The 14,714-nt window shown below is 41.3% G+C and overlaps 1 protein-coding gene across 13 annotated transcripts in view; it reads left to right on the forward strand.

Annotated features, from left to right (window-relative positions):
* RTN3 (reticulon 3) overlaps window positions 1-14,714 on the forward strand; it is a 78,442-nt gene that overhangs the window by 40,617 nt on the left and 23,111 nt on the right. Inside the window, exon 4 of one of the 13 annotated variants that reach the window (XM_017017092.2) lies at window positions 4,084-8,627. The exons of the other annotated variants lie outside the window; for them this stretch is intronic. Within the exon in view, the coding sequence (XP_016872581.1) occupies window positions 4,084-4,100 (17 nt within the window). The 3' untranslated portion in view covers window positions 4,101-8,627. Of the gene's footprint in view, window positions 1-4,083; window positions 8,628-14,714 lie in introns of those variants that run through there. 13 annotated transcript variants of the gene reach the window in all.

Here is a 14,714-nt window from a genome sequence, read left to right on the forward strand (position 1 = left end):
CTGCAAATGCTGTCTATTCTGGGATCTTGGAAAGTACAAGAAAAAAAAAGGATCTTTCAAGCCCCTCTACAAGGGACCCCCATCCTTTAATGTAATACCAAGTTTTACATCTACTGTATGGTCAGTGTTAGGTGCTATGTAGAGGTCTGTGGTTTTTAAACTATTTGATTATAGATCTTTTATCAAATGAAATCATACACAGAGTTGTAGTATTTACAAGAAAATTAGATTTTTGTTAGGCTAAATGTATTTTGTGTTTGATTTTGTGCCTTTTTATAAAGGCATTTTCTTACTGGAAACTGTAGGTAGATTTATCTTTTTAAGTTTTAATATTTAAAATAGATAAATTGTACTTAACCTTACAATGGTATTGTGAGGATTAAATATGAAAATGCAGGTAATACAGTGCCTAGCACATAGTAAATATGCAGTCAGATTTAGCACCAAATACAGGGCCTGCCACATAAGTAGTACTGGATAATTATTTGTTGAATGAATGATATGAATTATTTCACTAACAATTATCAGTGAAAGACATTGAGGCTTTTTGATAAACCAAAAATTTTGAATTACCAATTAAGGATAGCTCTTATACTCTAGCATTTGAAGCTCACTGAATTTGGATTAAAGAGTACTAGGTTCTAATTCTTGCTGTGCTGTGTCTAGAAGTATGACTTTGAACAAGTAACTTACATAACCTTTCGGGGGCCTCAGTTTTAATATCTGTAAAGTGAGGATGTAAAGTGAAGTAGATGGTCTTCAATTATCATTTAAATAATATGATTCTCTGGCTCTGGTACATTCTAGATTTCTTCCTCAGTTGTCATAATTCTTACAGGTAGTAACTTTTGGGCAATAAGGCATATAGGAATTATGCTACAAGAACTCCAGTGTCTAATTCTGGCAAATTCCTGTTTTAGCATGACCTTAGATGACTAGTCTAATTGGTTCAGCATCTTCCTTTGTTAATGTGATGATCATTATTTTGCCCTGCTTTGTATGTTGCAGTAAATAAAGTGCTGTGTAAATGCTAATTATTAGTGATTATCAACTGAATTATTTAATCTAGCGTGAGAGATGTAAAGGGCTATGGAAGTTCAGGATATTTGTCACTGACCAAAGTCTATGATTAGTGTATGTTTTTAGATTGTAATTAAAGAAGACCGGTATAGTTAGACCAAGAAGTTTAAAGGCCTTTCTTGCAGCTTTCAAAAGTGAAAACCTTTTAAAATTGTCTTATTTATGAATAAATCTTTAAAAATATAATCCATTTCATTGCAGTGAAATAAATAAATAAAAACATAAACCATTTCAGTAAAATGCATCAGTGTCTAGTTTTATTTATTTATCTTTTTTTTTTTTTTTTTAATTTTTTGAGACAGAGTCTCACTCTGTTGCCCAGGCTGGAGTGCAGTGGCGCGATCTCGGCTCACTGCAACCTCCACCTCCAGGGTTCAAGCGACTCTCCTGCCTCAGCCTTCCGAGTAGCTGGGATTACAGGCGTGTGCCACCACGCCCAGCTAATTTTTTGTATTTTTACTAGAGATGGGGTTTCACCATGTTGGCCAGGCTGGTCTCTCAAACTCCTGGCTTCAAGTGATCCGCCTGCGTTGGCCTCTCAAAGTGCTGGGATTTACAGGCCTGAGCCACCACACACAGCCGATTGTCTAGTTTTAAATACGTGTATCTGCATATTCTTCCTTTCTAAGGTAAAAACAGTGCTTTAATTATATTCTGCCTTAAGTTGTTTGGGAAAATAGGCAAAAGAAACAATGAAAGAATTAGTGGTTTTCTGTTTGTTTTTGCTATTTTATGGTATATTATGTAACAGCTTGTAATGAAGCCTTTATCATATTATAGTTGGTTGCTGAGTAATTAAGTTATGATAGACTCTCATAGTTTGGGGAAGAAAATCAGATCCCTGCCTCTCACATACCTAGTGTAGTGAAGATAGTTTTTTGTGTTTTAGTATCCAGATTGGCAGGATGCAAGGAAATAAGCATATAGTTTGGTGAAGTACATGTAAATTGTTACAGCCTTTCTGGAAGGCAGTTGGCAATATGTAACAGACCTAGAACTGCCCTAGCAATCTTGTTTTTAGGAATTCTTTTTTTTTTTTTTTTTTTTTTTTTTTGAGACAGAGTCTCGCTCTGTCGCCCAGGCTGGAGTGCAGTGGCGCAATCTCGGCTCACTGCAAGCTCTGCCTCCCGGGTTCACGCCATTCTCCTGCCTCAGCCTCCCGAGTAGCTGGGATTACGGGCGCCTGCTACCACGCCCGGCTAATTTTTTGTATTTTTTAGTACAGACGGGGTTTCACCATGTTAGCCAGGATGGCCTCAATCTCCTGACCTGGTGATCTGCCCACCTCGGCCTCCCAAAGTGCTGGGATTACAGGCGTGAGCCACCCGTGCCCGGCCCTTTTTTTTTTTTTTTTTTTTTTTTAAAGACAGAGTCTCACCGTGTTGCCCAGGCTGGAGTGCAATGGCACGATCTCGGGTCACTGCAACCTCCACCTCCCGGGTTCAAGCGATTCTCCTGCCTCAGCCTCCCAAGTAGCTGGGATTACAGGTGCCTGCCACCACGCCCGGCTAATTTTTTGTATTATTAGTAAAGACGGAGTTTCACTATATTGGCCAGGCTGGTCTCGAACTCCTGACCTCGTGATCCGCCCGCCTTGGCTTCCCAAAATACTGAGATTACAGGCGTGAGCCACGGAACCCAGCTGGAATTTATCCTTTTTTAAAAATGTGCAAAAATAACTACACAGATGTTCATTATAGCACAGTTTATGATAGTGGCAGATATCTCGGTGTCTTAACAATTAGAGATTGGTTGAGTATATTATGGTATAACTGTGCAATCGAATATTACACAGTCATTGAAGTTGTTAAAGTTTTGTTTTTTTTTTTTTTAAGAAATGGAAAAATATAGAAAAGTACAAAGGCAGCCTACACCCATATCTTCTCTATATGTAGAATTAACTTATGTTAATTGTTAGCATTGGTAGTCATATTTGCTTCCAAACTAAAGGACTCTTTGATTACCACCTGGCCACGCCCTCCATCTCCCCTTCCCCAGACGTAACACCGTCATGGACCTGGTACATCCTTCCAGTTTATTTTAAATAAATGTGTTTGTATTGTTTTATGCTTTTTAACCATTCATTCATGTTATCATGTTTGTTGTATAACGTTTTCCATTCAACATTAGGTTTTTAAACTTCTTTCATGTTGGAATTTATATAATTTATTCATTTTAACAGCTATGTAGTAATCCATTATATGAATATATTATTTTCTTTTGGTAAGGATTTAGATTCTTTCCTATTTTTTGCTATTATAGACAGCGCTGAAGTTAACATTCTTCTTTTTTTTTTTCCTTTTTCTTTTTCTTTTTTGAGATGGAGGAGTTTCACTCTGTCGCCCAGGCTGGAGTGCAGTGGTGCAATCTCCGCTCACTGCAAGCTCCGCCTCCCGGGTTCATGCCATTCTCCCGCCTCAGCCTCCTGAGTAGCTGGGACTACAGGCGCCTGCTACCACGCCCAGCTAATTTTATTTTTGTATTTTTAGTAGAGTCGGGGTTTCACTGTGTTAGCCAGGATGGTCTCAATCTCCTGGCCTCGTGATCCGCCCGCCTCGGCCTCCCAAAGTGCTGGAATTACAGGCATGAGCCACCGCGCCCGGCCTTAAGTTAACGTTGTTATACTTGTCTGTTTTTACACATATGTGACTATTTCCCCAGCGTTAGGGTGCTACTGCTTATCAGTTTCACTTCTAGCTCTGTGCCTTATTTTTCTAGTTACTGTCAAAGTTAGTGTCTTCTGTTATGTAAAAATGTTCGTAATTTATTAGTAAAAACTACATTGTTCAGCACCCAGCAGATGGTGGGTGCTAAAGTGGAATGAAAAGAGTTACCAAACAAGGAATACAAAATAATTCCTATCTTGGTATCATTTAAAGTGAATCTATGCTAGAAAGATTCCATAAAGAAAAAAAATGAATCTATATACCTACATATACAGGGAATCTGAAGTAATTTTTAAAAGCAATGTCAGAATGGTTTTCTTTTCTTATGGCCAAGTAGGCTTTTACTGGACCTGACCTTCCTGCATATAACTGGACAAAATTTTTAAAAAACAAAGACCCGAAGGCACTGGAGGATGAACGGGAGCAGTCAGATTCTGAAAGAGAGTTGACACATGTAAGAAGAGACAGCATGAAATTAGTTTTTTATTTTTACTGCTTTTAGCTAGAGGACAGGCTGAAGTGGGCACCTGACAGGCTGGCTTAAACCTTCATAGAAAACCTAAGCAGTGGACAGCATTTGGGTCAGCCACAACCACTGAGTCAGTGGAATGTAAGGGGAGGAGGAATCTTGGAAGGGAGAGATCCAGAGAGTGACAGCCTAAAATTCTGTAGATAAAATAAACTGTGTTTAAGCCTCTGTTTAATTGTAAACCACACTTAACACAAAAGATTATAAGCAGCACAACTAGAGATGAAAGAAGTGAACTGGGCCGGGTGCAATGGCCCACGCCTGTAATCCCAGCACTTTGGGAGGCCAAGGCGGGTGGATCACGAGATCAGGAGTTCAAGACCAGCCTGGTCAAGCTGGTGAAACCCCATCTCTACTAAAAATACAAAAATTAGCCGGGCACATTGGCAGGCGCCTGTAATCCCACCTACTCAGGTGGCTGAGGCAGGAGAATCGCTTGAACCCCTGGGGGTGGAGGTTGCAGTGAGCCAAGATCATGCCATTGCACTACAGCCTGGGTGACAGAGTAAGACTCCGTCTGAAAAAAAAAAAAAAAAAGAAGAAGTGAGCCGAGTTTGTAGTTTGAAGGCCAGGCACAGTGGCTCATGCCTGTAATCCCAGTACTTCAGGAGGCTGAAGCAGGTGGATCACTTGAGCCCAAGAGTTCAAGGCCAGCCTGGGCAGCATGGTGAAACCCCATCTCCACTAAAAAATACAAAATTAAGCCAGGCATGGTGGCCTGTGCCTGTAGTCCCTGAGCCCAGGGAGGTCAGGGGTGCAGATCGCACCACTGCACTCCAGCCTGGGTGACAGAGTAAGACTCTATCTTGAAAAAAAAAGTTTGCAGTTTGAATCTAACCAAATTTATTACATGTTAAAACAAAAGTAATGATACTCTCCAGAGGAATAGAACACAGTCTGGAATTTGTACAGCATAATATTCACAATGTCCAGGATATAATCCAAAACTACATGTTTTAAGAACCAAGAAATTATAACTCAGTCTGAAGAAAAAGAGACAATCGATAGAAACTAACTGCATGTGTTGGAATTAGGAGTCAGGATTTTAAGGGTTTTCATTTTAATCACTCAAAGAAGTAAAGGGAAATATTCTTGTATTGAATAAAAAAGAAAATCTCAACCTAGAAATCGAAACAAAAAAGAGTCAGGTGGGGATTCTAGAACTGTAAAATATAACCACTGAAATTAAAATTCAGCAGGTGACCTTAACAGCAAAATGGAGATGACAGGGGAAGAAGCTGGTGAACTTGATAGCATACTAAAGAACAGAAAGAACACATATTTTTTAAAAGTGTCACCAGAGCTTCAGAACCCTGTGGGACAATATCAAAAGACCTAACTTTGGCCAGGCACAGTGGCTCACGTCTGTAATCCCACCACTTCAGCACTTAGGGAGGCCGAGGCAGGAGGATCACTTGAGCCCAGGAGTGCGAGACCTGCAAAACCTATTTTTTATAATTGGAGTCCTAGCAGGAGAGGAAAGTGAGAGAGAGACTGGAGAAGGACATATTTAAAGATAAAATGGCTGAAATTTTCTTAAATTTTATGAAAGGCACATTTACTGATGAAAGACGCTCATCAAACACCACCTACTAGGATAATTACAAAGAAAACCATACCTTGGTGTATGTGTCGGGGTCCCCAAGATAACCATCAGGGCCAGTGATTTGCTAGAAGGACCCATAGGACTCATAAACTGTAAACTAGCAGTTAATGGTTTATTACAGCAAAAGGACATAGGTTAGAATTGGCCAGAGGAAAAGACACACGGGATAAAATCTAGGAGAGATCAGATGCAAGCTTCCAGGTATTGAATGGAGTCATACAGGGATGTACTTAATTCTTTTACAGTGATGCGTGATAACATGTGCAAAGGATTCCCAACCAAGGAAGCTCTTTCAATCTTTGGTGTCTAGCACGGCATGCAGTGCCCATATGACTGAACTCAGCTACTCAGACCCCAGACCCCCAGAGCAAAAACATGTACTGGCAATAAATCATATTGTTAGGATAAATTTATCTGATACAGCATGGCCTAAGACCTCAGGCATGCAAAAATACTTATGAAGCAGAATATTCAAAGGGCTCAGAGGCCATCTCCAAGGAGCCAGCAAAGGGCTAGTCCTGAAGACAGACCTTTCTTTGGCATGTGCAGGGCTTGGCATTCTAGGCCTGCTGAGTTTTCACCCTTTCCTATACAGTGTATCGTAGTCAAGTTGCTGAAAACCAAAAATAAGGAGAAAATCTTGAAAGTAGCTAGAGAAGAGGCTGGGCGCGGTGGCTCACGCCTGTAATCCCCACACGTTGGAAGGCCGAGACAGGTGGGTCACAAGGTCAGGAGTTCGAGACCAGCCTGACCAACATGGTAAAACCCCATCTCTACTAAAAATACAAAAATTAGCCGGGGTGGCAGTGCACACCTGTAATCCCAGCTACCCAGGAGGCTGAGGCAAGAGAATCACTTGAACCCAGGAGGCGGAGGTTGCAGTGAGCCGGGATTGCGCCACTGCACTCCAGCCTGGGCGACAGAGCGAGACTCCGTCTCAAAAAAAAAAAAAAAAGAAAAAAGAAAAGAAAGTAGCTAGAGAAGAATGACACAGGGAAATGACAATTATAATTAGAGCTTACTTCTTACTAGAAACCACAGATGTTTAAAAGGCAGTAGAGTAACATCTTATAAAGTGCCCAACAGGGAAAAAAAACCTGTCAACCCAGGTTTCTGTATTCAGGAAAAAAACAACAAAAAAAACAAAAAAACTGCAAGATTAAAAGACATTTTTAGATAAAAGAAAACTAAAAGAATTCTACCAGAAGACCTGCACTACAAGAAATGCTAAAGGAAGTTTTTCAGATTAAAGGAAAGTGATACCAAATAAAAACTCAGACCTTTAGGAAGGAATGAAGAGAATTGGAAGTGGTAAACACCTGGGTGAATATGAAAGGCTTATTTTTTTCCTCTTAATTTCTTAAAATATATAGGATTGCTTAAAGCAAAAATTGTAATAACGTGTATAGAGGTTATGATGTTTATTTCTTAGGACAATTATAACAGAAAAAAACGAGTATATGGACTGTACTATAGCAAAGGTTTCTGCTTTTTTTTTTTTTTTTTTTTTTTGTTTGTTTGAGACAGGATCTGGCTCTGTGGCTCTGTATCCCAGTCTGGAGTGCAGTGGTGCAATCATGACTCACTGCAACCTAGACCTCCTGGGCTCAAGCAATCCTCGTGCCTCAGCCTCCCATGTACCTGGGACCACAGGTGCATGCCACCACACCTAGCTAATTTTTTTATTTTTTTAGTAGAGACAGAGTCTCATTATGTTGCCAACACTGGCATTGATCTCCTGGGCTCAAGTAATCCTCCCACCTTGGTCTCCCAAAGTGCTGGGATTATAGGCATGAGCCACTATGCCCAGCCTGTTTCTACATTTTTAATGTAATGGTACTATAAATATATATATATTTGGAGACAGGGTCTCGCTCTGTCACCCAGGCTGTAGTGCAGTGAGTGGCATGAACACAGCTCACTGTACCTCAACCTCCCAGGCTCAAGCAATCCTCCCACTTCACCTTTTTGGGACTATAGGTATATGCCACGATGCCCAACTAGTTTTTAAATTAATTTTATTTTTATTTATTTTTTGAGACAGAGTCTCACTCTGTCACCCAGGCTGGAGTGCAGTGGCGTGATCTCAGCTCACTGCAACCTCTGCCTTCCGGGTTCAAGGGATTCTCCTCCCTCAGCCTCCCAAGTAGCTGGGATTACAGGCACTCACCACCACGCCTGGCTTATTTTTGTATTTTTAGTAGAGATGAGGTTTCACCATGTTTGTCAGGCTGATCTCAAACTCCTGACCTCTAGTGATCCACCCTCCTCGGCCTCCCAAAGTGCTGGGATCATAGGCGTGAGCCACCGTGCTCGGCCAAAAGATGTTATTTAAATATAAAGACACAGGTTGAAAGTAAATGGATGGAAAAGATATCCCAAAAAATTTATAAATGTATGCCATGCAAACAGTAAGCATAAGAAGATGAAAGCTTTTATCAGAAATAAATAAGGGACATCTTATCATGATAAAAGATACCAGGAAGTCTTGACAGTTATAAGTGTGTATGTGCCTAATAATGGCTTCAAAATACACAAAGCAAAAATTGACAGAATTGGCTGGGCAATGGCCCATGCCTGTAACCCCAACATTTTGGGAGGCCAAGGTGAGAAGATCACTTGAGACTAGTTTGAGACCAGCCTGGGCAACATAACCCTTAACCCAACATAACCCTACCCTGGAGTTTTTTTGTAGAGACCCCCATCTCTACAAAAATTCAAAAATTAACTGGTTTGGTGGCATGCATCTGTAGTCCCAGCTACTCAGGAGGCTGAGGCGGAGGATTGCTTGAGCCCAGGAGGTGGAGGCTGCAGTGAACCATGATCACACCACTGCACTCCAGCCTGGTGACAGAGTGAGACCCTGTCTCCCAAAAAGGCAGAATTAAGGAGATATATTGGCAATCTGTAATAATTGGAAAATTTAATACCTCTTTCTCAGCAATTAACTAGACACACCCAGGTATCTGAACAGTACAATCAATGAATTTGACTTAGATGGTGGTTATAGAACACTACTCCCTACAATAGCAGAATACACATTATTTTACAAGTGTATAAGGTATGCATTCATTGGTATCGATAATATACTACTAGGCCCACAAAACAACTCAGCAAATTTCAAAGGATTTTTTTTTTTATTTATTTATTGGAGACACAGTTTCACTCTGCCTCCCAGGCTGGAGTGCAGTGGTGTGATCTCAGCTCACTGCAACCTCTGCCTCCCGGGTTCAAATGATTATTGTGCCTCAACCTCCCGAGTAGCTGTGATCACAGGCGCGTACCACCACGCCCACTAATTTTTGTATTTTAAGTAGAGACAGGGTTTCACCATGTTTGCCAGGTTGGTCTCGAACTCCCAACCTCAAGTGATCTGCCCACCTTGGCCTCCCAAAGTACTGGGATTATAGATGTGAGCCACTGTGCCTGGCCAAATTTCAAAGGATTTAAATCATACAAAATATGTTCTAAGGCCATAATGAATTTAAGCTTTAAATTAATGAAGATATCTATGATGAAGACAACATCTAGGAAAATTCCCAAATATTTGGAAATTAAGACAGTTTTACCTAATCTATAGATAAAAGAAGAAATCACAAGAAAAATATTAAGTGATTTAAACTGAATCACTTAAACTGAACAATGAAAATAAATCAAACTTGTGGAATACAGTGCTGAGAGGGAAATTATATAGCTTTATTTATTTTTTATTTTTTATTTTTTTGAGATGAACTCTCGCTCTGTCACCAGGCTGGAGTGCAGTGGCACAATCCCGGCTCACTGCAACCTCTGCCTCCCGGGTTCAAACGATTCTCCTGCCTCAGCCTCCTGAGTAGCTGGGATTACAGGCGTGCGCCACTACACCCAGCTAATTTTTGTACTTTTAATAGAGATGGGGTTTCATCATGTTGGCCAGGATGGTCTCGATCTCTTGACCTTGTGATCCGTCCACGTTGGCCTCCCAAAGTGCTGGGATTACAGGCTTGAGCCACTGCGCCCAGCCATGTATATAGCTTTAAATGCTTATATTGGAAAAGACAAAAATCTAAAACAGTGATCTAAGGTTCGAACTTGAAAATCTAGAAAAAGAAGAGCAAAGTAAACCCAGTAAGTAGAAAGAAAAAAAAAGAGCTGAAATCAATGGAATAAAAAAACAAACAATAGAAAAAATTAACAAAGCCAAAATTTGGTTCCTGGAAAGTTCAACAAAATTATTTTTTATTTTTTTGGAAACAGGGTCTTGCTCAGTCACCCAGACTGAAGTGCAGTAGCATGATCATAGTTCATTGTAATCTCAAACTCCTGGGCTTCAGCGATCCTCCTGCCTCAGCCAAGTAGCTAGGACTACAGGCAGGCATCTAGGGACTACAGGCACGCACTATCATACTTTATTAATTTTTAAAAATTTTTTGTAGAAATGGGGTCTCATGTTGCTCGGGCTGGTCTCGAACTCCTGGCCTCAAGTGATCCTCCCACCTTGGCCTCCTAAAGCGCTGAGGTTATAGGTGTGAGCCACTTTTGGCCAAAATTATTTCTTGACTGGACAAGAAAAAAAAAAAAGCACAGATTACCAATATCAAGCATGAAAAAAGGGTTTTCCATTCAGATCCTACAGATATTAAAAGAACAGTAGATTATTATGAACAATTTTATGCCAACAGATTTATCAACTTAGAGAAATGGACAAAATCCTTGAAAAATGCTACTTAATGCTAACACAATTTATATTAAAGAAATTAAATTCAGTATCAAAACTCTTTCCACAAAGAAAATTCCAGGCCCAGAGTTTTCACTGGAGAATTCTTCGAAGCATATAAGGAAAAAGGAGAGGAGAATACTTCCCAATTTATAAACTAGTATATATGTCATATATAATACATATGTATAGAGTAATACCAAAACTGGACAAAGACATGGCAAATACAATTATAGACTAATATTATTCATGAACGTAAATGAAAAATCCTTCAGAAGATATTAGCAGATCATACCAGCAACATAATAAGATAATGAATGCATCAAGGCTAATTAGGGTTTGTTACAGGATATACAGGATACAAGGTTGTTTTAAGATTAAATAATCAGGGCTGGGCTCAGTGGCTCACGCCTATAATCCTAGCACTTTGGGAGGCCGAGGCAGGTGGATCACTTGAGGTCAAGAGTTCAAAACCAGCCTGGCCAACATGGTGAAACCCTATCTCTACTAAAAATACAAAAAAAAAAAGGCTGGGCACAGTGGCTCACGCCTGTAATCCCAGCACTTTGGGAGGACCGAGGCAGGCACATCATGAGGTCAGGAGGGAGGACCGAGGCAGGCACATCATGAGGTCAGGAGATCGAGACCATCCTGGCTTACACGGTGAAACCCCGTCTCTACTAAAAACACAAAAAATTACCCGGGCGTGGTGGCACGCGCCTGTAGTCCCAGCTACTTGGGAGGCTGAGGCAGGAGAATCGCTTGAACTCAGGAGGTGGAGGTTGCAGTAAGCCAAGATTGCACCACTGCACTCCAGCCTGGGCGACAGAGACTGTCTCAGAATAAAAAAAAAAAAGATTGGATAATCAATATAATTCACCACATTAACAATGAAGAAAAACTATGGCATAAGTTCAGTTCATAAAAAGTGTTTGAAAATGTTTGGCTGAGTGCAGTGGCTCATTCCTGTAATCTCAACACTCTGGGAGGCTGAGGTGGGAGACTTGCTTGAGCCTAGGAGTTCAAGACCAGCCTGGACAACAAAGTGAGACCCTGTCTCTACCAACAAAAAAAAAAGGAAAAGAAAAATTAGCTGGGCGTGGTGGCGGTGGTGGTGTGTGTCTGTAGTCCCAGCTACTCGGGAGGCTGAGGCAGGAGGATTGCTTGGGCCCAGGAAGTCGAGGCTGGAGTGAGCCATGATTGTACAACTGCACTCCAGCCTGGGTGACAGAACAAGACCTTGCCTCAAAAAGAAAAAAAAACACCACATACATACGTATGTATATATGTATATACACACAGACACACATATATATATACACACACACATTCAGTGAGATCCTGTTTCTAAAATTTTTAAATAAAAAAAGTTCGATATCCTTTTCTGATAGAATTTTCTACAAACAAGGAATAGAAGGTAATTCCCTCAGTCTAATAAACAGCATCTGTTGAAAACTACAGCTGATGTCATCCTTAATACTGAAATGCTGAACACTTTCTCCTGAAGATTGGGTACAATGTTCACTCTCACCATTTGTATACAACATACTGGAGGTCACTTTGGGAGGCCGAGGTGGGCAGTTCATTTGAGGTCAGAGTTTGAGATCTGCCTCACCAACATGGTGAAACCCCCATCTCTACTAAAAATACAAAAATTAGCCAGGTGTGGTGGTGCACACTTGTAATCCCAGTACTCAGGAGGCTGAGGCAGGAGAATCCCTTGAACTCAACAGGCAAAGGTTGCAGTGAGCCGAGATCACACCACTGCACTCCAGCATGGGTAACAAATCAAGACTGTCTCAAACAAAAATAGCCAGGCACAGTGGCTCATGCCTGTAATCCCAGTACTTTGGGAGGCCGAGGTGAGCGGATCACTTGAGGTCAGGAGTTTGAGACCAGCCTGGCCAACATGGTGAAACCTCTACTAAAAATAGAAAAATTAGCCAGGCATGGTGGCACACACCTGTAATCCCAGCTACTCAGGAGGCTGAGGCAGGAGAATTGCTTAAACCCAGGAGGCGGAGGTTGCAATGAGCCGAGTTCACGCTACTGCACTCCAGCCTGGGTGATAGAGGGAGACTCTGTCTCAAAACACACACACACACACACACACACACACACACACACACACACACACACCATACTGGAGGTCCTAGCCACTGAATTATGGCAATAAATGGAAATAGAAGGAATCAGGATTAGAAAGGAAGAAGTTAAACTTTCTTCATTTGCAGATGACATGATTGTTTACATAGAAAATCCTAAGAAATCCACAAAACAACTATTAGGATTAATAAGTGAACTTAGCAGGATTGCGGGATAGATATTAGGTTGATAAACAAAACTCAATTTTGTTGTTATATATTAATAGCAAAATTTGACAATAAAAAAAAAACTTTTTTTGAGACAGCCTTTCTCTGTCGCCCAGGCTGGAGTGCAGTGGCGCAATCTCTGCTCATTGTAACCTCCGCCTCTAGCTGAGACTGCAAGTGTGCACCACCATACTTGGCTAATTTTTGTAATTGTAGTAGAGACAGGGTTTCATCTTGTTGCCCAGGCTGGTCTCGAACTCCCAACCTCAAGTGATCTGCCCACCTCAGCCTCCCAAAGTGCTGGGATTACAAGGTGTGAGCCACAATGCCCGACCTAGAAAATTATTTTTTTAAATAAGTAGTTCCATTTACAATAGCACCAAAAGCATAAAATACTTGGAATAAATTTAGCTAAAAAAGTACTTAAGACCGCAGTACTAAAAGCTACCAAACACTGCAGAGAGAAGCTAAAGAATGACTAAGAGGAGAGAGGTGCTATGTTCATGAATTGGAAGACTCAGTGTTGTTAAGATGTCAGTCCTACTCACACTGATCTATGGATTCAAGACAATTCAAAGTCCCAGATTCTAACATTTCTCTCTCTCTCTCTCTCTCTCTCTCTCTCTCTCTCTCTCTCTCTCTCTCTTTCTTTCAACCCCTGTTTCCTGGGCTCAAGCCATCCTCCCACCTCAGCCTCCTGAGTGGCTAGGATTGCAGGCATATGCCACCACACCGAGCTAATTTTTGTATTTTTAGTAAAGATGGAGTTTTGCCATGTTGCCCAGGTTGGTCTTGAACTCATCAGCCCAAGCATTCTGCCCAATTTGGCTTCCCAAAGTGTTGGGATTACCAGTGTGAGCTAAAGCGCCTCACCAATTCTAACATTTCTGTGGAAATACACAGAGCAAAGAACAAAATTGGAGAACTTGGAACATTTATTTAAAGACATTATAAAACTCCAGTAATAAAGACAGTATGGTACTGACGAGTCTACAAGTAAAGAAACAGAGAACCCAGAAATAACAAATTAGCACAAATTTAGCAACTTAAATTTATTATCTCACAGTTTTCATGGATCAGCATTCTAGGCATGGGCTAGCTGATCCTCCTGCTCAGGGCCTCACTGGGGTTGTGATACCATCTGAGACTCAGGGACCTCTTTCTTTCCAAGCTGGCTGGTTGTTGACAGAATTCAGTTCCTGGAAGTTGTGGAATGAGATACCCACTTTCTTTCTCCCTGGATGTCAGCTGGGGAAATCATGCTCAGCTCCTAGAAGCTGCCTGCGGGTGCTAACCTCATGGCCCTCTCACAACATGGTAGCTTGCTTCTTCGAAGCTATCAAGAGAATCTTATACAGTCAGTCCTCTGCATCCGCAGGTTCTGCATCCTTGGGTTCAACCAACCTCGGATTGAAAATACAAAAGAAAAAACAATAAAAAATAATATAAAGGCCAGGCGTGGTGGCTCATGCCTGTAATCCCAGCACTTTAGGAGGCTGAGGCAGGTGGATCACCTGAGGTAGGAGTTCAAGACCAGTCTGGCCAACATGGTGAAACCCCATCTCTACTAAAAATACAAAAAATTAGCTGGATGTGGTGGCACACACCTGTAGTCCCAGCTACTCGGGAGGCTGAGGCAGTAGAATCGCTTGAACCCGGGAGGCGGAGGTTGCAGTGAGCCAAGATTGCACCACTGCACTCCAGCCTGGATGACAGAGACTCCGTCTCAAAAAAATTTTAAAAAATAAGTATCCAAATGGATATGTCTAGGTTATATGCAAATACCATGCTATTTTATATAAGGGACTTGGGCTTCCATGGATTT

This window comes from Homo sapiens, chromosome 11, assembly GCF_000001405.40.
Source record: "Homo sapiens chromosome 11, GRCh38.p14 Primary Assembly".
Classification (NCBI taxonomy): Eukaryota; Metazoa; Chordata; class Mammalia; order Primates; family Hominidae; genus Homo; species Homo sapiens.